The 27,424-nt window shown below is 45.6% G+C and overlaps 1 long non-coding RNA gene across 4 annotated transcripts; it reads left to right on the top strand.

The window, feature by feature from the left end:
* Positions 1–478: 478 nt before the first annotated feature.
* LINC01682 (long intergenic non-protein coding RNA 1682) lies at positions 479–18,837 on the top strand. Of its 4 annotated transcripts, NR_146473.1 has the most exons (3): positions 2,351–2,421; positions 8,569–8,847; positions 9,213–9,528. It is a non-coding gene; the product is annotated as a long intergenic non-protein coding RNA 1682 (long non-coding RNA). The 4 variants fall into 4 exon arrangements; NR_146475.1 differs by lacking the exons at positions 2,351–2,421; positions 8,569–8,847 and adding an exon at positions 479–500; NR_146474.1 differs by lacking the exon at positions 8,569–8,847.
* The last annotated feature ends 8,587 nt before the right edge of the window (positions 18,838–27,424 follow it).

Below are 27,424 nucleotides of genomic sequence, written 5' to 3'. Positions count from 1 at the left end.
AGGTCTCCTTCCCCCAGGGTACTCTTTATTTTGCTATTAACCGAGGGAAATGAGATAGCAGCTCAAGTTTTTCTCCGTGAGTTGAGAGTACAGATGTGCCGCTGTCTGGTGGAGCCGGATGCTCTGCGGTCGGTAATGGCCTTCAAACTGAATGGTTAATGAAGTCTGACTAAGATGCTAAGCTTAGGCTATAATTAATTTAGAATTTGAAATGGGGAGAAACCTTGGTTGTTTCAAGCTAGTCAAACCAGAGGCTGCCTTAGGGCAGTGATTCCTTCTCACATTCCCATTAAAACCATGTACCTATAAAAAGGTAGCTCCATGTCACCACAGTGGTGACCCTTCTCTCTGACTCATTTCCCATTATGAGCACAATTAGCGTGCAGCATGTGTCCTGGGAGATTAATGATCCGCTGGAGGGAAGAAAGAGGAACTTGGGGAATGGATCTGGGTGTAGTCAGAGCTCGCCTCTCCCTGGGAGCTGCCTTGGTGCTGTAAAGGTAAACATCCAGGTGCTGGTTGGACTCCTGGCTGGACTCAGCCTCCATAGCAGGTGGTCCTCCTGGGGTGGGGTGGGGCTGCCACTGATGTGCACAGCAGGTTGAGGAGAAGCACCTTCCAGGGGCCCATAGTTCTTCTGGAGTGGACAGAAGCACCCAACTCCCAGCCACAGCACCCGGGCTGCTACCATAATGGTTATGTCTCTGAGACAGAGACCTTCACAGGAAGAATTTCCTCTTTCCCTTAGCCAAGTTGGTATTCTTAGCACTTTCTAGAACTGAAAGAGAGAATTAAGTGAGAAGATACCCTCTTTTATCCCATGAAAGAATCGAATCAAATATTCTTAACAATTAAGACTGTAAAATTAGACATAACTCCGAGGTTTGTGGTCTAAAATATAGGGTTGATGTGAAAAGAACTTGAAATAGAACAAAGAAGTAAATAGCTGTGCCGAACCCAATCAAAGAGTGTGGCAGCCAAGTTGGAGATCAGTGGAATGAGATCCTGTATAACATTAAGAGTAGGTGACACAGGCAGGGAGAACACCCTGTTTAGGGAACGTTAGCAGAGTGACTATAAAACTGGATCAGCCTGGCAGTCAAGGTTACCAACAAGAAGCAAGACAACATTCCAGCCAGAAATCCACTGGTCTTAAAAACTCCTCAGCTGGGACAGACAACCACAAAAGTTGTGTGAGAAGATAATCCAAAAGTTGTTTGAAATGACAACTGTTTCCTTAGTAGGAGAACACCTTTCAAACACCAGATTTGAATTTAGAATACTTCAGAGGAATCAACACATAGTAACATTATTTCATGGTTAAGGTGTTTAGATACAATTTTCCATGGGTCTTTCATATTTCTGCATGTCTTGTGAGCAGAGGGTGTTTTTCTGAACAGCTTTGGAAGACAGAGATGGTGCCCTTCAAGAACAAAGGGCAGGTTGGTTTGCTCTCTGATATAATAAAGATAACGTCTCCCTCCAATGCAAAGGTCAAGTGGACTTACTGCCTATTATAAAAGATTCCAGATCTCTAAGCTTGGGGTTCCTCTCCTGTAACCCATTGTGTGTAAAGATGCCTCTGGGCTCTTCACATCACCCTATGGGAACTGGGACTTGAGGAACTGGTGTAAATGTTGATACTCTGTCTACTACTATTGACATAACAAAGTTCTTTGTCTCTGATCCAGGATCTCATGTCTTTTGCCAGCTTTGATGAAACTTGCTAGTTGGAAAGCAGAGTGAAATCTCAGGCTCTACAACTCTTGACATAAGTATTTTATTCATTTTTGGTGTCTATGTTCTTGAAGTACTTAAGAGATTTGGGGCTATGCAAGTAATAGACCAACTTTGTGATTCATATTAAAATTAAGTGATTTAAACGCAGGATTTTTAATTTGAAATTATTTAAGTTTATAAACAGTATGGGAACATTTAGAAAGACCTGGATTCATTCTGTTTATAATTGTAATCCATTAAATTTATGAAAATTACCTAAGAAATCTGAAAAGGTTTGGTTTAGCCATCAGGCAATTGAAGTACCTAAACAAGGAAATAAAATATATTAAATTTATAAATCTTACTTTAAATGTTTGAATGAGTTAAATAACTCCGTTTGTATTGGGACCAAACTCTTTAACTCTTTAAGACTGCCTTAAATCATTTTGTTAAAAATCTTAGATTGATTTCCACTTCTATGTAGAGAGTTAGAAAGTATATCACCTCTACCCTAACAACAAGAATATGACAAATGAAATACAAAATGATAATGTTCCTTGAACTCATCAGAGGACTGACATCACAGGGCAACTAAGCAACTAGAATTCCAAAGAAGGACAAGCCCCTCCAAAGACAGGAAGCATGAGGGCAGGCTCATCAGTGTCAGAGCAGGGGAGACCAGCACAGACACCTTACAAGCAGGTAAGGCAAAGTCAGCTAAAATGCCAGTTGGTTGGAAGAGACCAGAAACAGTGGAAGCCAGAAGGCAATGGAAGGCTTTTAAAGTCCTGATAGACATTTTCTGTTGGTAGAGATTTCCACACCTAACAAATATACATTTTTAAATGGAGGTGAAATAAAGACTTTTTTCAGGCAAATAAATGCCGAGAGAACTCATTGTTAGCAGCCCTCATCTGTAAGAAATATTAAAGGAAGTTTTTCAGACAGAAGGAGTATGATGCCAGTCAGAAACTTAGATTTATACAAAGAAACGAACTTCAGAAATGGTGAATATAAAGGTCATTTTTGCCTATTACTAATTGCCTTAAAAAATACTTGACTATTTGCAGGGATTGATAAACTTTCTTTCAATAGAGGACCACATAGTAGATACCTTAGGCTTTGTGGGCCCGTGGTCTCTATTGCAACCATTCAACTCTGCCATTGTAGCCTGAAGGCAGCCATGCAAACAAATGGCTATATTCCAATAAAACTTTATTTACAATAACCGGTGGCAGGCTGGAATTGGCACAATCACAAATCAGTGTGCCTATCACTGGCCTAAAGCAAAAATGCTCACAAAGTACTCTACTCTAGGATTTATGACAACAATAAGAAAACATATGGCAGTATACTTTGTAAAGTTCTTGCACTTCAAATGAAATGGCATAATATTTGAAGTTAGACTGTGATAAATAAATATGTACACAGTAAACTCTAAAGCAACTAAAAATAAAAAGAATAGTATAACTAATAAACTGAGTATAGAGCTAAAATGAAAACATAGAATGCTTAATCTGAAAAGCAGGTAAAAAAAGAAGAAAAAGGCAACGAGAAACATGTGAGTCTAATAGAAAACAACTAGCAAAATGGTAGATTTAAATCTACCATTATAAATATTTGTACTGATACAAACCATGTCAATACGTATGTCACATGTAAATGGTCTAAACACCCAAATTAAAAGGCAGAGATTGTCATATTGAATTTTTTTAAAAAAAACTGTATGCTGTTTACAAGAAATATACTTTTAATATAAAGAAAAAATTTAAAAGTAAAAACATGGAAAATGATATATTATGAAATCACCAATCAAAAGAATGTTGGAGTAACTTTGTTAGTATCAGACAAAGTAGACTCTGGAACAAAGAATTAATACCAGGGATCAAAAGTAACATTACATAAAGGTGTCAATTCACTGAGGAAGGAAAGCTTTTAGATTCTCTGGGTCCCATTCAAAACTGGAAGCCAGTAAATGAGTTAGAATAGTATTTCTAAGTGTGGTATATGCTATCTTCAAAATCTGAAGTGTTCTAAAAAGTGTTATGCCTTTGTCTTACAGCTTGTAGGGGCTATCCTGAAATGCCCTTAATCATCGGACCTCTAAAAACTTTGCCAAAGTAGCAGGTCCCTGAAGATTTTAGAGTGTATCTCCTACGCTCTGATGCATATAAATCCTACCAGGGTATTCAGAATACTTACCATTTCCTGTTAACTGGGTTTGCTTACCATCATGTCCTCAATATGGTGGACTAACAGAATGTTCTGCAGAATATCTAGACAACCAAAGTCCTTTGAATTGTATTTTGACAAACAATAGGAAATTCACAGAGCTCTAGGCCAATGCTGTGAATGTATGTTGTTTTCTATTCCTAGTAAAGGCAAGTTGCTTCTGATCCTCTCTCCTAATAGAAATTTAAGAAAATGCATCTGCCATGGCCAGGCATGGTGGCTCATGCCTGTAATCCCAGCACTTTGGGAGGCCAAGGTGGGCAGATAATCTGAGGTCAGGAGTTCAAGACCAATCTGGCCAACGTGTTGAAACCTCGTCTGTACTAAAAATACAAAAATTAGCCAGGCATGGTGGCACGTGCCTGTAATCCCAGCTACTCTGGTGGCTGAGGCATGAGAATTGCTTGAACCCAGGAGGCGGAGGTTGCAGTGAGCCAAGATCATGCTAGTGCACTCTCCAGCCTGAGCTACAGAGCGAGACTCTTGTCTCAAGGAGAGAGAGAGAGAGAGAGAGAGAGACAGAGAGAGAGAGAGAGAGAAAATGCTTCTGGCAGATTATTATACTTGGTGATAGATGTCGTGTTGATCTATTCCAGCACTCATAACTGTGGCTACCACTTGGTTAATTTGTCAGTAGTCCATCTTCATCTGCAATGCACCATTTCATTTTTGTGTGGTGGGACTAGTAAATTATTTAGGGATATGATGGGGACCACCATAAAGTCTGCCTTCCTTGAGCCTTGGAGGGTGGCGTTCTAATCCAGAAAGAGGCAGTATTTCTGATTTTCTATCTTGGCTGGGGTGAGGAATTTTTGAGAACTTCCACTAGGCATTTCGTAGCATCATGGCTCTTATTTTATAACAGGTTCTCCCACTGTTAAGTATGTCTATTTCGATTATGAACTCAGAGACCAGGAAAATGAACAGCAGCTAGGGCATAGATCCATTGGCCTCACTATGAGACTGATTTGAAGCCAGGACTTTCCTCATATCAACAGAGGGTGTTATTATGGCACTGGTCCCATCGTGTCAGCTTTAGCTCAGATCTTGTGTCCACAGCTCTTCAAAGATCTGAGTCCTCAGAAGAAATGTCCATAGATCTTTTTGGTAATAGATAGGGGGTATCACTACTGTGTATGCTTAATGTGGCAATACAAGGTCATTTCTCAGGGGTACCCAGCCTCTCTTTCAATACAGGCTCTGGGTCTGATAAGTGGCTCAGGTCTGGAAACTGGGCAAGGGATCAAGATTTTTCATTGCAGCAGCTGACATCAGCCTTCTGCTCATCAGCTTTTGATCTTTAGTTACATAGTTCAAACAATATGTTCCAGTCTCACTGCTAGGAACACCACAGTCTATTAGTTACTACTCCCTGATTCCTGCAGATAAGAACCCAGATTGTCCTTCTAACTTTGCTGCTGTTACAATCATTTGTCTACTTTGCCTTTGATGGGTAAGTGCTGCCAACTGTGCTGTGCCCTTCTTGAATCCCATCATACCCAATGACACTAAGAGGGAGCCCAGACCCATAGCAGCCTAGAAAGGTCAATCACCGGAAGTTTCTCAACAATGTTGATGGCCACCTCACTGACGTATTCCTTATATTGCTAATGGAGAGCAAACCCTCTGGGCTCTCCCAGAGCTGGCTAATTGGCAGATTCTCTGGTCTTACATAGTAAATCTATTTTTGTATGCCTACCTCGCTAGACACTCTACCCTTTCTGCTGCAAAGTTCTGGCATTAACAAGAGGTCATTATTGTTTCCAAGCTGTAAGGCACTATCTTGGCAGTGCATCAGGACTGGCTTAGGTGTTCTTGCCAGGACACTACATCCTGAGCCACAGGAGACAGCCCACATATCCATAAACTCTCCTTCAGTCCAGCATTCTCAAAATTCAGCCCCAAACATGTCTTCCTGGGTCATGTTGGTACACATTAGCTAGATGTTACATCCCTTTCTGAAACGATGACAGTAATTCTCTCATCGGGCATTCCAAGGCATGTACCAATTATTGGCCTAAACAGGGATTGGCAAACTATGGCCCATGTGTCAAATATTGTGTGTTTTTTGTAAATAAAGTTTTATTGAAATACCCATTCATTTACATATTGTCTATGCTGCCTTTGTGATACAATGGAAGAGTTGAATCATTATGGCAAACACTGTACAGACCACAAAGCCTAAATTTTTTGCTGTCTCTTTACAAAATAAGTCTGCTGACCCCTGGTCTAGAAGCTGTGAGGGCTGGTGGAGGAAATCTTGAGAAGGGTACTCATCATCTCAGAAAGCCTCTGCCTCAAGTGAGGGCTTTGTATGGTCTTGGGGTAAGGGAAGGCTTTTTCTCTCTACAAGGGAAGTGGGCCACTTCTGCAAGCCGAGAGAGTTCCAGGGAATCTGAGGATTGAAGGTTCTCAAGCACATCTACCTGAAAGTCCTCATTTCAGGTCCTCAGGTCTCTTCCTCCTTATCAGCCCCTTGACTTTGACACAGAACATTTGCTGGAGCCACAAATTCAGACTTTGCTATTCTTTTATCAGATCATAAGCTTAATTTTCAGCAGGATGTGCCATCCAGTTACAGAGCCTTGTTAATTGGTAGATTCTCTGGTCTTACATAATAAATCTATTTTTGTATGCCTACCTTGCTAGACATTCTACCCTTTTTGCTGCCAAGGCAGTTTTGGCATTAACAGGAGGTCATTATTGTTTGCAAGCTGTAAGGCACTATCTTGGCAGTGCATTAGGACTGGCTCTAGCTGTTACATGCTGTCATAGAGATTTTCTGGCTTCTAATTCTGTGCTTACTTTGGTTGTTAGCTGACTCAGCCTGGCCTATTTTCTCCCTTCAGGGCATTGATGCACCTAACAATCATCTCCACCGCACTTGTATGTGCTGTCACCACCATAGCTCTCAAATGCTAGTGATATTATTGCACAAGCTGGTGCGTCCTCTAGCACCTGCACTTCTTCCTGTATCAACCAGGCTCCAGCCCAGCCAGGAGTTTTAAACCACATTAGTTATTTTTACAGAGAGAATTTAATACCAAGAATTGAGGAACCAGACAGGTCTAAATGGGCACATTGAGATAGGGTGAACAACCATCCCAGTTTGCCCAGGACTGTTCTAGTTTTAGCACTTAAAGCACTGTGCTCTGGGAAAAACTTTAGTCTCAGGCAGAGCAGGACTGCTGGCCACCCTCACTGAGGTATCACAGAGATGGTAACGGCAGGATGCAGCTCTCATCCCAGTACTGGGGGGCACACAGGAAAGAGTTTTGTCTAAGTAGAGGGCACCAGCTAACTGGTGCTTGTATCCCTGAGGGGTGCCATGAAGCTGGTTTGGGCAAAGCCATTAACTGGAACCAATTGTTGCTATTGGAACCAAGTGTTGTGAGTGCAAAGGTGATGCATCATTGCTGGGATGAGCCTGACACCAGAGGAAGGGAGGAGATGAGAAGGAGCATGTCCCTTCTTTCTTCTCTAGCCTCCAGTTTTCCTCCAGCTTCCCGTTGCCCCCCGCCCCAGAGCCTAACTGGGAGCCACTGGCAGGGCAGAAATGTGGTAGGTGGGAATTCCTAGCCGCAGCATCAGAGAGCAGTGTACCAAAGACCCGCATCCACCCTGGCATTCCGGCTGCTTACTGGGTGGAGCTGCAGTAGCTTATTCACCAAGTGAAGACATTCTTAACAGTCACGATGCATGCCAAGGGGTCATCACCACCCACTTACCACCGAAAACCGGGGCCTTGTTGCCCTCTGAGCAGCAAAGGATCCAAGAGCAGAATCCCACAAAACTCTGCTACCAAGACCCCTTCAAACTCTAGCTGTCTTAGTTTGGGGGGCCCCCAAAGCAGATCCCAAGGCAAAGATTTGAGCACAGTGATTTATTTGGGAGGTGGATGGGGCAAATAAAGATACATTATTGAGCCAGCTAGCACCACAGGAGACTGTAGGGTTGGTCTGGGCTGGGTCCAAGTGGGCTGCTTTAGAATCCAGATGACGGAGCTGGGGGAAAGAAGCACATTCCCCATTTCTTCAAGAAACTCAGCCTACCTGCAGGAATGCAGGGAGCACCTCAGAGGCTTTAGACCGTGGTGGGGAACCCCACGCAGGCTGCACCTAAGGCAGGGACACGCAGTTCACATCTGCCACAGCTGTGATGAGGGGCCTCCACTGGATATCTGGCCATGGCACACAGCGGCCACCACCAAAAGGGCAGGAGGAGGGAGACATGAGATCTGAAGTCAGCTTGAGTGAGGAGCCTGAGATGCTGAAGAAATCGGGAGAACGTGGCGGGTAGTGGGCAATGCCTTAGTTTGAGTTACCCCCAGAAGCAATCCCTGGGAAAGGACACAAGCACATGTTGCTTCCTTGGGAGGTAAAGGAAAACATCATTAGGGGAGTAGTGAAATGAGACAGGAAAGGGGATGTGGCCGGTACAGGGTGTGTTATCACAGCAGCCATGGCTGTGGGTAACAGGAGCCTAATGCCACAGGGAGCTGGAAGCCAGCAGAACACACATACCTTGTGGGTGGGAGAAGCTTCAGTGTTTCCGTGCAGGATTCAAAGATTGCTTCTCTCATTAATTCTCCTCCTGGACTGCCTTGCCTGAGGGCAGAATGACCTTCTGTGGCTACAGAGAAAGGCTTCAGGCAAAGAGATGCAGCTCTGGGCCCCAGAGTCCGCTGGAGCACACTGAAGCTGGAGCACACTGAAGTGGAAGATGGGGCTGCAGACAGAGACTGGGCAGCCTCTGCTCCAGGGAGGCCCGAGAGCCAGAGAGCAGATTCCATAAGAAGAATAACTCCCATTCCTCATGCATGAGACCCTCTGCTAAATGCTTCCTGTGCACCACCTCCAGAAATCCTCCCAAGCCAGGACACCAGCAGTATTACAGGTGGAATATCCCTTATCCGACATGCTTGGGTCCACAAGTGTTTTGGATTTTTTCAGATTTTGGAATATTTGCGTATATATAATGAGATATCTTGGGGATGGGACTGAAGTCCAAACATGAAATTCATTTATGTTTCATATACACCTTATATGCAGCACATAGCCCAAAAGTGATTTTGTGTAATATTTTAAATACTTTAGTGCATGAAACATAGTTGTGACTATAACCTGTCACATGAAACCAGGTTGGAATTTTCCACTGGTGGTGTCATGTTGATGCTCAAAAAGTTTTGGATTTTGGAGCATTTTCGATTTCGGATTTCTAGAGTAGGGATGCTCAACTGTATTATTATTTTCATTTTACAGGTAAGAAAATGGAGGCTCCCAGAGATTTGACAACCTGCCCGCAGCAATGACCAAATCAGACTTGGTGCTAAGTCTGCACCTCCCCAAAGTCAGTGTGTTTGTATGCTCTGCTGCCACTGCCCCCCGCTGGCCCTGCACATGATGTGAACCATCAGGCAGACCTGGAGTTCTGTCTCCTGGGTGGGCTGCTTGCCAACACCAGGGTGGCTGGCCCCTGCCTGTGTCAGGTCCTGCAGTGTTGACTCTCTTCGTGTGATGTTGGGCAGGTGGAGCTGGTTGTGCTGAGCCTGAGGAAACATCCAATGTGCCAAACTTTCTTGTGTGTTTCCCTCTGCTGGTTATTTAGTAAGCCCAGGAAAAGAGCAAATCCTGCCCCCAACAGATGATCCTCTCGATGAGAGTGGTTATGGTGATGATGCCAGCATGCAGTGGGGAGATTCGACTTTTCGAGATTCTTCCAGCCCTTTGCTTCCCACATTTCATAATGCTTGATGGCAACAGCTCTGCTGACTGTTTGGGAAAAAGACAATACTTATGTCCCTTTTAGAGACACTTTACTCAGTCCCTCCCGCAATGCTTAGTACGCAGAGAAAATAGTAAAATTAACCCGATTTGCTCATCACTCAGTTTTGGCCGTTATCAACTAATGGCCACTCTAGTTTCTACTGGGGTCCCATATACTCTGCCTGTCCCCTGATTATTTAGGTGCTAATCCCAACATTGTATCCTTTTGATGCGTTCCAAAGCAAAAATATTGATTCCTAAGCTACCCTTGTGAATTTTCTGATTCAGGAGGTCAGGAATGGGGCCTGGGAATCTACACGTATTTTCGATTCTCCAGGTCTGGGAACCTACAGTATAAAGGAATGAGCATGGACTTTAAGAAAGTCTGAGTTTGAGTCTTGGTTTTGCCCAAGCCTTATAACTTTGGACGAAAACTTTAAGTTTTTGGACCTTGACCTCTTTGTCTTGAAGGATCACCAACTCTGTGAACTTGTGGTCCACTAAGACCCTCCAACATTTTTCACATTAAATACATGCTATCAATCTTGTGTCTCTCAGCCTTCCCCTGCCTTGGTGTTAGGCTGGGGGTGGCGGCAGCAGGATTGCTTGTGAGTTATCCTCTTTTGTGGTGGTTGCGTCCACAAGATCTCTCCAAGCTGTGTTCCCTGTCTCCCATGTGGTGTGTCCCAACACTGTGTCCCCTTTAGTCCCATTCAAGCTTCCCTCACTCTATTTGCTCCAACCCACTGTGCCCAGCTCCCTGGGAAACTGATGGGCAGAACCTATCCCTAAACAGCATTCTTCAATCACAAAATTCTTGCACCTAGAGTAAAACTGACATTTGATTCAGGTCAGTGATCGTTTTTTCCAACCAAAACCAAATCCTAATTTCCGTGGTTGGCATGCATGCAGTCATTTGGTGCTTATGAAAAAGAAAGCAGGCTTCACTGAATTGCAAAAACAAGAACTTTGCTGGCTTTTGGTGTGCTCAGCATTTTTCTGAATGAAGATGGCAACTCACAGTGAATACACATTTTTTTTTCTGGTTATTTAATTAAATGGAGTTCAGAGGGAAGGAACATAAATAAATAAGACAAGCAAATTGGGACGCACATTTGAACTAGAATGAGAAAAGAGCGGTTTCCTGAGGCGGAACACCTTCACAATGGAGCACAGCTTTATTTAGTACAACACTGCCCCTGCAAATTGTGTCCTCAGTTGTTTTGGGGAGTTGAATGTAACTTGTGCTTTCACAGCGACAACTAATAGCAAAGAAAGGCCCTAGGAAATGCAGGACTGCAAGAGACTGACTTACAGTGGGAATTTGGGAAGCCATGTGTTAGAACAAAAAGGAACTGCAACCACCTCACTGTATGCCTGAGAAACAGAAGCTGAGATCTCATTATTTGCTCAAAGCTGCATGGCCAGTTGGCAGAGGAGCACAAACCAGCACTCTGGGTTACTGACCAGTGCTCTTTCCATGGAGAGGTTTAGGTGGTGGTTAGAAGCACAGACACCAGGACAGACTGCCTGGGTTCACACCCCAGCTCTGTCCCTTCCTGGCTGGATGATCTTGTGCAAAAGAGTTAAATCCCATAGGGGCCACATCAGCCAGAGTTTCAGTAGGAAACAGATGGAACACCAAATTAGGGTCGTTGGAAGGGGTATTTATAAATGATCATTTCAAAGATGTGGGTGGAGCATGGGGAAAACACAGGCGCCAGTGCAGGGACACAGGACCAGCAGTGTTAGAGCTGTCCCCAGCACTGGGCCAGAAGGAACAAGGGGAGAGAGAGGCTGCAGAGCCTTGTTCTGAAAGCAGCTGTGTCCTCAGGTGGGGGAACCCAGACAGTCACCGTCATCTTGTAGGGAGGAAACCAGGGTAACGGGTGCACGTCCTCACTCTCCCTTCTCTCCCTCCATTCTCCTGATGAGGCTCCTTACTGGCTAAACCCAACTAAAAGCACAGAACACAGAAGCTTGTCTGTGTGGTCTAGCTAGACCTGGCTCCTGGGGTGGAGAGCATGCCAGAGGAGGGGGGGCAAATGGATCTGTGGGAGCAAATATAACTAGCTGGCACAGGGCCTCCATTTCCTCATCTTAAAATGGAATCATAATGGAGCCCACTCATAGTTTGTTGTGAAGATTGATAACTGAATAGATGAATAGCTGCAAAGTGCTTAGAATAGTGCCATATATATATATAGTGTTTATCATACATATACACATTATTATAGTGCTTACTACATAACTACCATAGTGCTTACCATAGATATGTAATATATAGTAAGCATATACACAGTATGCAGATATATAAGAGTATAGTAATCATATAGCAAGCACTATATTACTACATACATAATATACATAGCAAGCATATACATATATAATAGTTTAATGTATTATGATATTGTAAACTTTCCCCATTTGCCTTTCTTGGCACTTGCACTACATATGGAAGACCCCTCTATGGTCTGAGTTGAGCATCTGGTAAACTCTTTATTACCCCGTCACTAATATTTATGAACTCAATTTACCTTATCATGCATTTTGAGTAGGAAAGTAAATATTTGTCTGCCCCTGAGCTAAAATTGATTAAACAACTTGGGGCTGGGCACCATGGCTCATGCCTGTAATTCTAGCACTTTCGGAGATGGAGGCAGGCGGATCTCTTTAGGTCAGGAGTTCAAGATCAGCCTGACCAACATGGCGAAACCCTGTCTCTACCGAAAATACAAAAAAAATTAGCCAGCGTGGTGGCGCATGCCTGTAATCCCAGCTACTTGGGAGGCTGAGACATGAGAGTCATTTGAAGCCGGAAGGCAGAGGTTGCAGTGAGCCGAGATCACAACACTGCACTCCAGCCTGAGTGACAGAGCAAGACTCTGTCTCACACACACACACACTCACACACAAAGTGATTTTTTTCCTGTTGATAACACGACCACAGCACACCAGTGTTCTCCTTGTGCAAGCCTCAAAATGATCATCATGATAACGTTCTAGCTCATATAACAAACTTCAGGACTGAAAGCTTTTGATTCAATATTCTGGCATGGTGCTGAATGATTCCTGCAGTTATTGAAGAGGTCCATGCCTGCCATTCTTTTCTTTAGCTCTATTAATTTACATATATGTCAAACGATAACTTCATTTGATGTATCCAACTGACCTTTATTTCAGGATTGTTATGAATTTTTACTTCATTTATGAAATATACAACAAATCATTTTTAAAAGTAATATATATACACACATACACATATATAGGAAGCACTACACTTATTAAAGTCAGCTATTGTTATCAGCTAAGAGGACGTGATGAGTATTCCAGTCGGAGGAGACACAGAGAAGGGCTTCATGACCCAAGTGCTGGCAACAATTCCTTAAGGAAACGTCGTTCCTTCCCCCACAGCTCACTCCTGCCTTCTCTGGAAGTTCCAAAATCTACGCCAAAGGTACACAAAGACCAAAGAGGAGGCTGAGCACATCGCTAAGCCTGAAGCTGGGGAAAAAGCTTCCTCCCACCCTTTGCTCGTCAGCAGCCCAAGGACAAGGACTTTCACCTGTGAGGACAACCTGGCTTCCCCCTAGAAGACAGGCTGATCCCCTTGTCCGGGAAGTTTTAAGACAGAGTTGATGCCATGCCTCTGTGAGATGTTCTGAGGCTCTGGAGAGAAACAAATGTGCCACCTGTCTACCTGAGAATGAAGACAGGCTCGCCACGCCTGGGGTCTCTGCACCTCTTGACTGCACGGGTGGCAGGAGGAGACTGCAGAAACCAGGGGTGACCCGATGGGATGGAGGCTGCCTCAGCTCCGAGGTGGGGCAGTCTGTGGGCCTTTCTTATTCCTAGTCCCAGGTGGGGAGAGCATGAATGCGGAGAGACCATCTGCCAATTACACTTCATCTGAGCCCACGGCAGACCCGCTGTGGCTTCACCGGCTGGGGAGTAAGAATCAGATCAGGCAATCTTCAGTCCCACCCCTTCCCAGCCCTGGCATTGCAGAAGACATCTCCTTTGCTGGCTTAAACAGGCAGTGGTTCTTAGGATCTAGAGAGATGGGAAAATAACATGTTGGCAGTGACAGTTCTAAGGAGCTGGAGCTGCACAGTGTGGGAGGCCCTGGGGAAGAAGAGGACCTTGGAGAGCCCCCATCGGCCCATCACTCTCCACCCGACCTCTGCCTGCTCAGGCCTCCCGTGTGGGGCCACCCCAGGGCCCTGGGTGGAGCCCCCGGTGCTGTACACCTATTCATCTGTTCATAATACAGCCAGTAGTCAGTGCACAGCTGCCACACAGAGCATTAGAGGAAAGTAAGCTTTTCTTCTCCCCATAGCCACAGGCAGCTGCTCATGGTCCCAGACAGGAAAAAGAGCAAGACACAAAATTGTATGTTCACATCATTCAAATGTTGCAAAAAAATAAAAGGTATACGCGCCTGTCTGTTTAGGAGAAAGGTCACTAATCAGGGGTCTCTCTGGGTGGAGAAACAGCAGGTAGTTTTGATTCTCTTCCTTGTGCTTTGCATACTTAAATTTTTTCCATGTTGATTCTGAGTTATGTGAATATTTAGAAAATGTGAGCCTTCCTCTGACTACCAAGGTAGCTCTTCTGAACCTTCTCCAAGAGGCAAATATCTCAACAGCAAGGAACTTTTCCCCTCCTCCCACTCTTTGAGTCATGGAAAAATACCTTCCAGAAATAACAGAAGGCTGGTTGTCATTTAATCCTAACAACATCATTGCTCTGCCTCCCCACGGTCCAAGCCGAAGCCCAAAGGCAGCGTTGTCCAGCACAGCACCTCATCTGCAAAACCAGAGACAACATTATGTGGCCAAAATATCAAAAGCTTTGACAGTCTTCTTCCTTTACTATGTGAGCCCTGGTGTCATTGGGGCACACAGCCACCTGACTGCAGGTTCTCTGGTCACCCTTGCAGCCAGATGTGAGATGATGACCAAGCTCAGACAATCCAATGGGAGCAACAGCAATCTCATTAAAGCTCATATTATTCACAATAAGGCCATTTGCTTGGAGTTTTTCCCACAAGGACACCGGTATTCTAAGGACCCAGCTTCACCTGTGCAGATGAGGACAATACCTTAAGATGTCACAAAGCCATACAACAGAAGAAAGTCAGATGTCTGAAATGACGTGACATTGTGGAGCAGAGCCACTCCACTTTCATGGGCCTCTGATCTCCAGTCTATTACATGAAAGAGAAATAAGCTTCCATCTTATCTAACTCACTGGTCTTTGGATGTCTGTGTCACAGCAGCTTAGCCTGTGCTTAAGTAATGCAGCAAGCTCATCTTGGTTTTACATTCCCTCTCTGTAATTTACTAATGGTATGATCTGGGGCAGATCACTTAACCATTCTGGGCTTAATTTCCTCCTTTGGTAAAATGGAAGCATCACTATCTAACTTGAAGGGTTGAGAGAATTAGAATGATGCACGTAAAATACCTCATACAGAGCCAGGCTCACAGTGCATGGCCCGCAGCATTATATTTTAAGAATGATTTCTCAGATAATCATAACCAGAGAATCTTTTGCCTGCTCAGCTTCTATGACCATCCAATTCTCCTTTTTGCAGAAAACTCACCTTTCTAGAGAAGTATGTGGCAGTCAGCCCTATCCACCTCTCCATTCTCCCTTCTTCCCTCACATCGCCATGTTTTGGCTGCTACCTCATTCTTGTTCTTAGATAAAGTCATCACCTTTATCCCATCCATATGCAAAGTCTTTCCCCACTTCATCTTCTTCCAGCCTCTGTCCATGTAGAATCCTTGGTCTTTCTCCTGTAGAAATGTCTTCTCAGCCACTCCCTGACCAGCCCTTTTTGCCCCTCTTGCTAGCTTAACACCTGAGCCTGCTCCCTTCTGCCAGCTGCATCCCTTCTGGCTTTTGTCTTCACCGAGTTCTTCTTCCTCATCCTCACTTCCTTAGCTCAACTCAGATCCCCTTAACTGGAAGATACAGATGCAAAGCTACCAGGCTACGAAGCTATGTGCCTGTAAGCTGCCCTTTCTTTCTCTGCCTTCATAGGCAGAAGAAAGTCAAGGTCAAAGATGGAGGTGCTGGGTCAGCTAGGCATGCTTCAAATCCTGGCTCTGCCACATTTAGCAACAGGGCTTGGTTCTAGTTACCCAGCCTCTCCATGCCTCAGTTTCCTCATCTGTAATACAAGGGAAGATGACTGACAGGATCTTCTTCATAAGATTGCTGTGAAGCTTAAAAGATAGTGTGCATTAAAATACTTAGAGCACTCCTTGGCACCCAGGGAGTACTCAGTAGATTTTAGCTGATCTTACTAGCATTTTTCCTGTCCCCCAGTCCCCAGTAGGCTAGTTCCTACTATAGCAGTGGGAAGTGCAGTGAAAATCTAGAGCTTTTAGAAAACCTGTAGCTTGGGCAAGCAGCCCCAACTCTGAGGGTTGCATCTCAGGGAAGATTCTTGGGCAGAATCAATCTGCCTAATGCTCACCTCGCAGCCTAAAAATCTCCCTCTTCTCTCCTCCCTCCCTCCCACTCCACTTCACTGCTTTCATGTTGTATGACTTCAGATTCACCAGTTATAGATTTCTCTTGGCTGACAAGTGTCCTCCCAGAATGCAAACCCTTCTGGAAGAAGAACCAGAGTGACTGATCATTTCTACACAATAGAAGTCCTTTCCTTCTCGAGAATGTTCAGCTCATCTGCAGGACTGCCTGGAGCTTGACAAGCAGGGCAGAGAGAGCAGGGGAGTGAGTCTCAGCAGGAGCGCAGACAGACGTGGGGGAGAAGTTGCAGCAAAAGCCTAAGGTTGGCTCAGATGAGGGTCATGGAGGAGTGGAGGATGGACACCAGGAAGTGAGAGAGGGTGCAGAGGCCAGAGACAAACTCACTGATGTCAAAATGCTGCTGAAAATGTGGTTGCCTTAAGGAATTGGAAAGGAAAAGACTTCACATGGAAGGAACAGTTGTAAATAAAGTGTCTTGACCCACAGACTCCAGCCTGGGTTCCCTCTCCCTTGTGCACCCCAACCGCTTCCCTCAGCCCTATCCTCTCCCACTATGACCCTCCCGGTTTGAAACCCACTTTCTATGTGGCTGCCTCCTGCCCCCCATGTGTTTTTCACTCTCTTTTAGTTACTAGAATCAGCTTCAGCTTCAGAATTTGCCCTGGTTTCTACGCCAACTCTCAGATGCTAATTCTACTACCAGTCTTTTTTTTTTTTTTTTTTGAGACAGGGTCTCCCTCTGTTGCCCAGGCTGGACTGCAGTGGTGCAATCTCAGCTCACTGCAACCACTGCCTCCCAGGTTCAAGCGATTCTCCTGCCTCAGCCTCCTGAGTAGCTGGGATTACAGGCGCACGACACCACAGCCCGGCTAATTTTTGTATTTTTTTTTAGGAGAGAACGGGTTTCACCATATTGGTCAGGCTAGTCTTGAACTCTTGACCTCAGGTAATCAGCCTGCCTCAGCCTCCCAAAGTGCTGGGATTACAGGTGTGAGCCACCGTGCCCGGCCTCTACTACCAGTCTTCATACTGGGACTTCCTCTTGGTCATTCTGTTTACTCCTCTCAACTCCCAGCAACTCTGGGAGTCAACTGCACCTGCCAAGCCATCTTCATGGTGCTAAGGGCCATTCTGCTTCTGCCCCAACCAGCCTGTCCAGCTAAGGCCCTGTCCTGGGCACCACTCTCAGCCTGACCTCTGTCTGGACACTGACGTGGAGGGGTCTGTGTCCCAGGAAAAGGGTGGGAGTAGGGCATCCTCTTCCTCCTCATCCTTCTTTTTCTTAACCTAAATAGCATCTGCCACCCAGGACCCAGGACTCTGGCTGGTTCTGTAAATACTTTTGCCCAGTTACATTAGAGCTTAGGTGAATTGGACTATTATTATTACTCTGACCAGTGGAGTTTACCACTAAGCAGAACACTATTTCTTTAGGGAAATAATGCAAGTTCCCAACAAACAAAATGAACTTTTGAGAAGCCACCTGTGCAAAATGAACTTTTGAAAAACTCTCCACGTGCTTATTTACAAGGAGATTAAGAAGAAGTGATATCATTTGATGGGCCTTGGTATTATTTTTGTCCTCACTTAGTGTTCAATTAGCATTCAAGCCACATAATAACTTCACCCAACACCAGAAGCTGAAATATAAATACCACTCAAGCAAGGTTATTTAGATCCTCAATTGGATCGACCCAATCTGAGCCAATTATTTTTCTGGCAGAGTTAACTACAATGTGTCTAAAATGAGTGAGATGTGAAAGGCAACTTTCCATTACTTGTTCCTTTAACAGTTGCCTTAAAGCTGGAGTCTTGTCCTTAATTCCACATTACAAGTACTTTCTAGACAGGGGCACACCTACATGGAGCCATTTAAAATCAAGCCAAATGGTGTTCCTCCTCATTTCAGCTGAAATATTCAATTGAGAAAAAAAGTTAATCACAGGTATGTAGGAAGAATTACAAAAGGGAACTAGAAGCCCTGGAGAAGAAATTGGAACTTGGGGAAAAGAGCAGGAATAGATCTCTATGGATCTCAACTTTCCTCTCTGAATATAGGCTGGCCTGGAGCTTTTGAATACATCCAGCTTTCCATCTCAGATCTAGTTTATTGTTTGACATTGGGGTCCACCACCCAACAAGAGCATGTCGCCTTTCACGGTCCTCAGTTCTGCCACCTGTGAAATGGGAATATGCCCTCGTTTGCAGTTTGTGGTTTATGTTGTTCTGACCTTGGATAAATTGTTGTTGTTATTTTGATAAATAAACACATAAGAACTTGCTTTCAGGGCAAACAACTTGTAAGTGATTACTTAAAGAAGAAAAGTAAAATGAATAAAACAAAAGGCAAGATTGATGACCAATCTGCTCTTGAACTAGAAAACACATAAAGCATATGCTAGCAAGGGGCTTCCTCATGTCTCACCAGGCTTTGTGTTGCAGGAACTGGATGACAAAAAGAAGAGCCGATATAACCAGGAACCTACTCTGGCCACCCCAAGTAAGGATCTAAAGTCCAGCCTCCTCCTCCACTGCCCTCAAGGCCTTTCCTCATGAAAGCAGAGGTTCTGAATGCTGATTTCTGTTTTAAAGCCCAATAACTCTTTAAACATCTTGTGTGTGTGGTGTGTGTGTGTGTGTGTAGGGGGAAGGGAAGGAGACTGGGGTAGATAGCTCCAGGAGATATAAAGAAAACAGCAAAATAGCCAGCATATTCCCTGCCTTCCAGGTGCTCCGCATCAAGACTCAGCTGCAGAGATGACTTCAGTGCAAGTCACATACACACCATTGGGCTGGTACCCGTGGCAGCTCTGCAGGGCTTCCATATGTGAGTGCCTGGGACCAAGCCGCAATGGTCAGGAGGGACTTCCTAGAGGAGGAGAACTTCCAACAGATTTAGAAGAGAGGGGTCACTTAGGGCGGAAGTTCAGGCTCTCTTTCAACAAAACTCCATGGCTTCCTGGTAGTAGCAAGATTCTTTAAAAATGCAGTGCAGTGCTGGTTCAGGCCCCAGCTCCCCACCTGTAGACATGAGACCCTGATCCAGATGTACATCCTCTGAGCCCTTCCTTGTTGCAAGCAGGTGCACCTTTGCATCTCTGCCATGTGGCTGTGACGCCAACCTGATGTGATTTCTCTTGGTCTTAAGGACCTATTCCTGACCCCACTTCCTCTCCAGCTCCTGCCCCCATTTTTCCTCTCCCTTTACAGCAGAACTACTGAAAAGAGGAGGCAATGCCTGCTGTCTCTGCTTACCTCCTCCTACTTTCTAGTGAACTCACTCAGTCAGGCATTTGTCCTTACCACCCCAAGGTCACTGGTGACTCACACCCTCTGCCGCTCCTCAGAACACCTTCCCCTGGGTGCTCATCAGCATGTGGGGCCCCTTGCTGGGCCTCAGGGATGTCACCTGGCTGGGCTCCCCTCCCATTTCTCTGGCCATTGCTTCTCAGACTGTCTTGCTGATTCAGTCTTGTCTCCCCAAACCCCAGGTGTTGCCAAGCCCTCGACTCAGACCTTGGGCCTTTCCTCCTTTTGGTCCAGCCTCACTCACTAAATGATCTCTTGCCAAATCATGATTTCCAAAACGATCTCTATGCTCATGACTTCCAAATGTGCATCTCCTGCACAGACCTTTCCCTGACCTCTTGACCCATTGCCCAAACTGCCTGCTTCCCCGTTCCCCTTGGATGGCGATGGGTCACCTCAAACTTCACAAGATCCAAACTAAGATCCTGATATTCCCTTCTCAAATGAGCACTTGGGCAGCCTTTCTTTTCTCTGTTAACTCAGCTCTTCCAGTGACTCAGCAAAACCTGTGGAGCCGTTCTTGATGCTTCTCTTTGAGTCATTCCTCACATCTGGTCCATCTGTATGGCCAGAGAACTCCACCTTTAGAATATATCCAGAATTTGACCACTACCACCATCTGGAAGCAAGCCTCTTGGATCATTGCAAGAACTCCCTAAGTGATCTCCCCACTTCTGCCCTTCCCATCAGGCCACCCCCACAACACCCAACCTATCACAGCCCCACAGGAGAGGGATTCTGCTGGCGTGTAACCACTGCACTGGGTCTCCATCTCACTTAGAGAGAAAATGCCTGCACTTATAATGGCTTCAAATTCCTTATGAAATCGATCCTCTTTGACTCTGCGCCCCTCGCCCCCATTGCTTCTTTGAACTCATTCGCATCCCCAGCACTTTCATTCTGCTCCAGGCACCCTGGCTTCCTCCAGGCACATGCCAGGTGCTCTCTGCCTCAGGCCTGTGCACCTGCTGTTAGCTTCGCCCCAGTTGCTCTCCCACCAGCTGGCCCCGTGGCTTTCTCCCTCATCACTTCCCATCTTTTCCCAAAATTCACCTTTTGGCTACCCGATCTAAAATTCCCCATCACGCCCACATCTCACAGTTTCATTCCTTGCTTATTTTCCTGCTAACACTTACCCCTACTGACCTTCCGTAAGTGTTTTCTTCCTTGAGGATTTACTGTCTGTCTCTCTCCTCTGGTGAATAAGTTTGGGGAGGGCAGGAAGTTTTGTCTGGTTATTCAACACTCTCTGTAAGTGGTGACCACCTGAAGCCAGGGGGCCTTTGGATGCTGAGCAGATATGGCAGGCACAGAATGGGAATGACCTTTGTATTGGTCCGTTCTTGCATTGCTATGCAGAAATACCTGAGACTAATTTATAAAGAAAAGAGGCTTAATTGGCTTATGGTTCTGCAGGCTGTACAGGAAACATGGCTTCTGGGGAGGCCTCAGGAAGTTTTTACTCTTGGTGGAAGGCAAAGCGGGAGCTTGCAGCTCACATGGTGAAAGCGGGACCAATTGAGAGAATGGGGTGGGGGAGGTGCCACACACTTTTAAACGACCAGATTTCGTGAGAATTCACTATCACAAACATAGCACCAAGCCCGGGATCTGCCCCCATGACCGAAACACCTGCCACCAGACCCCACCTTCAGCATTGGGGATTACAATTCAACTCGAGATTTGGGTAGGGACACAGATCCAAACAATATTAACCTTCCATGGCGGAACCTCAAGGGAAGGTGACTGCCTAGATCAGTGCCCAGCACACAAAATAACTGCTCAGTAAAAAAAATGTGTCAAATGAATGAGTGAATAAATAAATGAACAAGTAAAAGAATAAATCGAAGAATGAATGGTGATGAGGAGATGTTTATTAAGGAGCCAAATTCAGAACAAATCCTCAAAAACTGTTAGTTTCTCCTATCCTTTCCGTTGGTCACTTGGGAAGAGACCTGGAGCTTTATGTGGCTGAGTTGTCACCGTGATTTGGATCAGGACAGTTCACAGATAGCCACCCTAGGCTCTAGGAGTGCCCTACAGCCCCTGCCCTGCTGCCTAGGTATTCTCATGGGCTCTCTGCAACCAGAGAAGAGCAAACTCTCTGGTGGTGATCGGTGAAGGGGCGATTGCTCACCCACACCTTAGTGAGCGCACATTTCTTGGCTCCGTAGTGGTCATGGATTTGGATGGTGAGAAGAGCTGAGACAGACGGCACAGGTTCTCAGGATGCTTGAGGCAGGTGAGACCATGCCATGGGTAGAACGCGGGTGGTGGGGCCCAGGCAATAACTCTGCACAGGTCACTTCTTGCTTGTGCTCGGCCTGCTCTACTCTCCCAGGAGGAAGAGCTGCGCAGTCCCCATCCTCTAAAGGTGAGACATGGTATCTCTCCTACCACCAGAACATCAACATCAGCTCGCCTTGACCTGTCCCACAGGGAGGCTGTGTTCCACCTCCCTCGGAGAGTCTCAGGCAGAATGTCTCCCCACTTCTATGCCTGGATCCAGGCATAGAAGCCCACCTTCTCCAGGGATGACTACCTCTACATATTTACTCCTAAAGCAACCTGCTCATGCCCTTATGACACCGACCTGCTTCCCTCACTAGGCTGAGCTCCACGAGCAGAGACCAGGCTGATGCATGCTCCACATCTTGCATGCTTTGCTTAAAGAATGAGCGAAAGGAGTAAATGAAATTGGTTCTTTCAAAGCAACAAGAACATTTGTGACATATCTGCTAAGGTGGTGAGGGACAAAGATGAAGGACTGCAGAGCTGTCTCATAGGCTCCTTTGAGCAAAGCATTCCTCCTCCAGGTAAAGTGACAAATGAATTTGCTCAGACAACACTCTGCCTCCCGTGTTTTCCCATAAAGTCCTCTTCACTGAAACCATTTAGCATCGTACATCTATCCTACAAGAAGGCATCCTACCAGAGCATTCTATGATGCCCACACAGAGAACAGTTGCCACAGTAATGGGCAGGAAATATATGCATGGGGACAGCTCCCAGGGATTGCTGGTAAATATTTATAGAATGGAGCAGCTAGCATAGCACAATTGTTGGCTGAATTAATATGGAGAGCTGGAATCTCCAGATAGCACTGGGTGGAGAGGATGCTGACTGTCAAGCCAGAGCTCCCCTCCAACTCCCCGGGGATGTTTCCTGTGTGATGCCAACACAAGAGTGCCCCCTATTCCAGTTTCATGGTGCCCGGTGAGGAATGGCCCTGCTCCAGCCCAGGAAGAATTCCCACTCCGCCACTATCTCTTGCTGCCAAGAAGTTACCTGTGACTTTCAGCTGAATCTGAGGTCCAACTGAGGTGTTGTGCCCTAGAGAGAACCTACCCTTTAAAGAAGTCACGTGCCTCCCATATCTGTGCAGGGATTGGCCAGTGCTTGTCCATCAGAGCACTGGGAACAGTTGCTCCAGAGGCATGAAACCAGGAAGCCAGGTTTAAGCAAACTTTTAGGCAAAGCCTCCTTAGATGGCTGGCAGTGGGTCGTGTTTCACTTTTCTCATAGACATGCTGACTCAGAAGCCTAGAACTGGCAAGGGCTGTGCCATCTACACCACTGGGGCGAGCTCTATCCTCTTCTCCCAGGAGGGGAGGCCCAGGGCTGTCCAGAGTGCCCAAGAAGGGCACAAGATAGTGGAAGAGCTGCGAAGGGAAACTCATCGTCACTCACTCGGTTGGCATCCTTCCACTCTACAAACTCCACACATGGCCCTACAGGGAAACTGTGCGTGTGGGATGTGTGTGTGTGTGTGTTTGGGAGTGTTGTGTATGTTATGTGTTATATATGTGTGTGCATGTGTGTGTCAAGTGTATGTGTATTGTGTATATGTGTGTTTGTGTATATGTGTTTGTGTATATGTGTGCATGTATGTGTGGTATGAGTTATGTGTTCATGTGTGTTGTGTGTTTGTGTTATATGTATATGTATGTTGTGTTGCATGTAGGTAGTGTGTGTTGTATGTGTCATGTGTGGAACTTGTGTTTATGTATATGTTGTATATATTGTGTGTGTTGTGTGTATGTGTACATGTGTGTTTTGTGCATGTGTGTAGTGTTATGTGTGTGGTGTTTGTTTCCATTTGGAAACTCAGGGATAGGAATTGTGCCCTGCCTAGGAAGCTGCCCCAAGCCCACAGAGGGTCCACGACTCTTTCCTCCACCTTGGCCTGTACATTACTTTGCTCATGCTTAGAATAACAATTACCTGTGTATACATCTGTCTCCACTACTGGACAACAGCCAGCCCTGTGCCAGCCCAGAGAGGGCACTCAAAAAGGCCTGCCAAGATACATCAAGCCACTCCTTCAATTGGCCTTCAAAGCCTGTCATGATTTAGCATGAACTCACTTTTCCACCTTGTCTCCCATTTTCATTACAAACTGTCATGCCAAGCGGAACTCTTTAGTATTCCTTGAGAAGAACCCTCTAATTTCCACCTCTGCCTCTTTGTTAACCCTCCCTTTCTGTTTCCTGAATTCCTCCCAGGTCTCAAAGACAAGCTTGTATGCTCCCCATCCATGGGCCCTCTGGGTCTCCTGCCTGACTGCTGTCTCCCTAACCTCCAGATGCCCTCTGTCAACTAGCCTTGGCACCCAGTGAAAACAGTGCCATCTCTGAGAATCCCTCCTGAAATTTCTAGTATACAGAGTCACAAGTTCCCTTTTCGTATCAATCACTATTTTCTCCGTCAGGAGCCAGGTCCTTTGTGCCTCTGCCATGCAGTGTCCTGCCTTACCTAATCAGTGAATCCCAAATTGCAGGTTGATTGAGAATCATCCAGGGAGATGGGGGAAATTCTGCCTTCACAAAGTTTCAGGTGAGGCCCAGAAATGTGAATCTGCCCTGCGAGTCCAAGAGACTTTCATGCAAATGGTTCAGGATCTCACTTTGAAAACAGCATCCCAAGTACTGAATAAGTGTTTGCTGATGGACAGATTTATGAGGACCACACCCTCTCTGATTTCCTTTTCAACTTGCTTGCCCAGAGCCCTTTCTCCATGTCTCAGTCAGATCCTTGGAGTCTCATTTCGAGGCAGACGTACTAAAAGCAAATAATGAAAACGTGTTCTGCAGAGACCCCTCCCCTCTGCACAGCTGTCTTGCAGCTCTCTGGGTGGCAGAGGCCCCATAGCTGAGAACCTCTCTGTGGGCTGCAATCCTTACCATTGAACATTCTTCTCTGGCTCTCAATTCTCTTTCTCCACCTTTCCACAGGCTCCTGTTGTTCAGTCTACAAATATGCCTACAATTTCTACAGCCTCAGTCCAGCTTCAGCCTCAAACTAGCACTTGGCTGCTTTCTTTCTTCCCTGCCTGAGTTTTTGACAGAGTGACCTGAATTCACCTCTCCTCTGCTTCCTTGCCTCCCATCGTGATCTCCCTGAGTCAGATTGGTTCCAAAGCTGTTTTCTCAGAGTTTGTCTGTGGGTTGGTTGCCCCCAGCTGGGAGTACCAAGGCTAAGGGATGATGGTCACAGCAGAGCTGTGCACATGTGTATATTTACCACACCAGTGGCCAGGCAGATGGCTGTAGGGGGTCCAGTTCCAATTACATCACTGAATTATAATGATTCCCCACCAGTGGAACATGAGGCTTCTGAGGAGGGTGTCTCTTTCTAGTTTGTATGAAGCTGCTGGAAAGGCCCAGGCACAGTGAACTCCAGATCCCCAGAGCCATGGCCCCACCCTCTGTCCTCATCAAATGGGAGTTGTCACCAGTGTCTGCCCCCCTCAACACTACATCCTCCTGAGTTTAAGAGTTACAAGTATTCAATAATGTTGGGCTGATTCTTCCCCATCTCTGCTACTGGTTTCTCTCCTTTCTGCTCCCTCAGTTTGGGTCATTCTGAGGGGGTCCCACCACCTCCCTCTCCTCCTACTGCACGCACTTCCCCTGGGCCCCTTCATCCCAGCCCGTGGCTTCACTCTGCACTGCACATAATGAGTGACATCGTCACCTTTGCATTTCTCCAGCATGAGAGTTACTGTTGACCCTTGTACAATGCGGGAGCTCGGGGGTGCCGACCCTGCGCAGTAAAAAATTCATGTATAAATTTTAACTCCCCAAAAGCTTAACTACTAATGGGGTACAGTTGACCAGAAGCCTTACTGATAACATAAACAGTAAATTAACACATATTTTGTATGTTTTGTGTATTATATACTGTGTTCTTATAATAAAGTAATCTAGAGAAAAGAAAATACTACTAAGAAAATCATACGGAAAAGAAAATACATTTTTTATTAAGTGGAAGTGGAGCATTGTAAAGGTCTTCATCCTCATTGTGTTCATGTTGAGTAGGCTGAGGAGGAGGAAGGAGGAGCTGGTCTTGCTGTCTCAGGGGTAGCAGAGGTGAAAAAATAATCCCTATATAAGTGGACCTGGGCAGTTCAAACCCGTGTTGCTCAAAGGTCAACTGTACTATGAATATTTCAAAAAGGTTCTTAGAAATCTAAAACATCAGAGCCAAAAAGCACTTAGAGGTGACTTGGTGAGAACTGCTTTAGTTAAAGATAATAATGAAAGAAAATAATAATGTATAGTATGTTCCATGGACTGTCCTAAGCCCTTTCCATATATTAACTAATTTAATCCTCACACCAACCATCAGAAGAGGTGGTATTATTACCCCTACTTCACATTTGAGGGCCCTGAGGCCCAGAGGGGTTGAAAGGCCATGCCCAAGTTCTCTTAGGGAGTGTGTGGCAGAGCCAGGGTTCATGCCCAGGCAGCCTGGGTCCAGATTACAAGATGTTCAAGGTTAAAATCAAATTAACCACTTGGCGTAATCAAAATCCCACACAGTCCAGCCCCACTCACCTCCCCAGGTATTTGACAGACTGAGCCCAAACCTGCTTTCATCTTACCCACATTGACCTTTGTACTGCATCCCCTCTGGCTGGCCGCAGTGCCTTTGCACATGCTATTCTCTGCTTCAGGCAGTCATCCCCACCCACTTTCTTCTAGTCCACACCATTCGTCCTTGTGGTTTCTGCTGCTGAAGCTTTCCCTACTTTCTTAGGTTAGGGCAAAATTTCCTCTTACAGCCTGTAGTACCTTGCAGTTTCATATCTGTTGTGATAATTCAGCTAACATCAGCCTCTCACTACACTAGAAACTGCAGGAGGAAGGAATAAGGTCTGCTTGCTGCTGACTCTTCCCGGGCTGGCACAGCGCCTGGGCCATTGGTATCTGTGGGGGAAATAACTGGATGGCAGGACCCATGCCTCTCCTGAATCCCAACCTATGTTTTCCTGGGATTCTAGGCTTTTCCCCTCCATTACCGTTGAGGAAAATAGCCCTAGTAACCAGCAAAAAAGCCTGGTATTATATCTCCTGGGTATAGAAAAGACATCAGATGTTTTTCTCTCTGGTCTAAATTTCTTTTTATTCTCTCTGTAAATCTAGAAAAGTATTCACATTTCATTAAATTGATTCAGATTGAATCTAAATGAGGGTTAAATATAATTTTCTGAATGCTACCAACCTATAATTCCTGTGTCTAAATAAAAATAACCAACAGTTTAAAATGAGGTGATGGGTGAGATTTCATTTGGTGGTTTGAAGCCCTCTGAATTTGCTACAGATAATCAGATTTGCCACAGAAAGTATTTGTATGCTTTCTTTACTTGTGCTTAATATTGGCCCACTTTTTTTTTTTTCTTTGAGACAGGGTCTTGCCCAGGCTGGAGTGCAGTGGCACAAAGCTCACTGCAGCCTTGAACCTGTGGGCAAGTGATCCTTCTGCCTCAGCCTCCCAAGTAGCTGGGACTACAGGAATGCAACACCACAACCGGCCTTTTTTTTTTCATTTATAGGGATGGGTCTCAGCGTGTTGCCCAGGCTGGCCTCAAACTCCTAGCCTCAAATGAT

This window comes from Homo sapiens, chromosome 1, assembly GCF_000001405.40.
Source record: "Homo sapiens chromosome 1, GRCh38.p14 Primary Assembly".
Taxonomy (NCBI): domain Eukaryota; kingdom Metazoa; phylum Chordata; class Mammalia; order Primates; family Hominidae; genus Homo; species Homo sapiens.
Note: the sequence above shows the minus strand (reverse complement) of the source record. Positions and strands in the feature narration are given on the sequence as shown.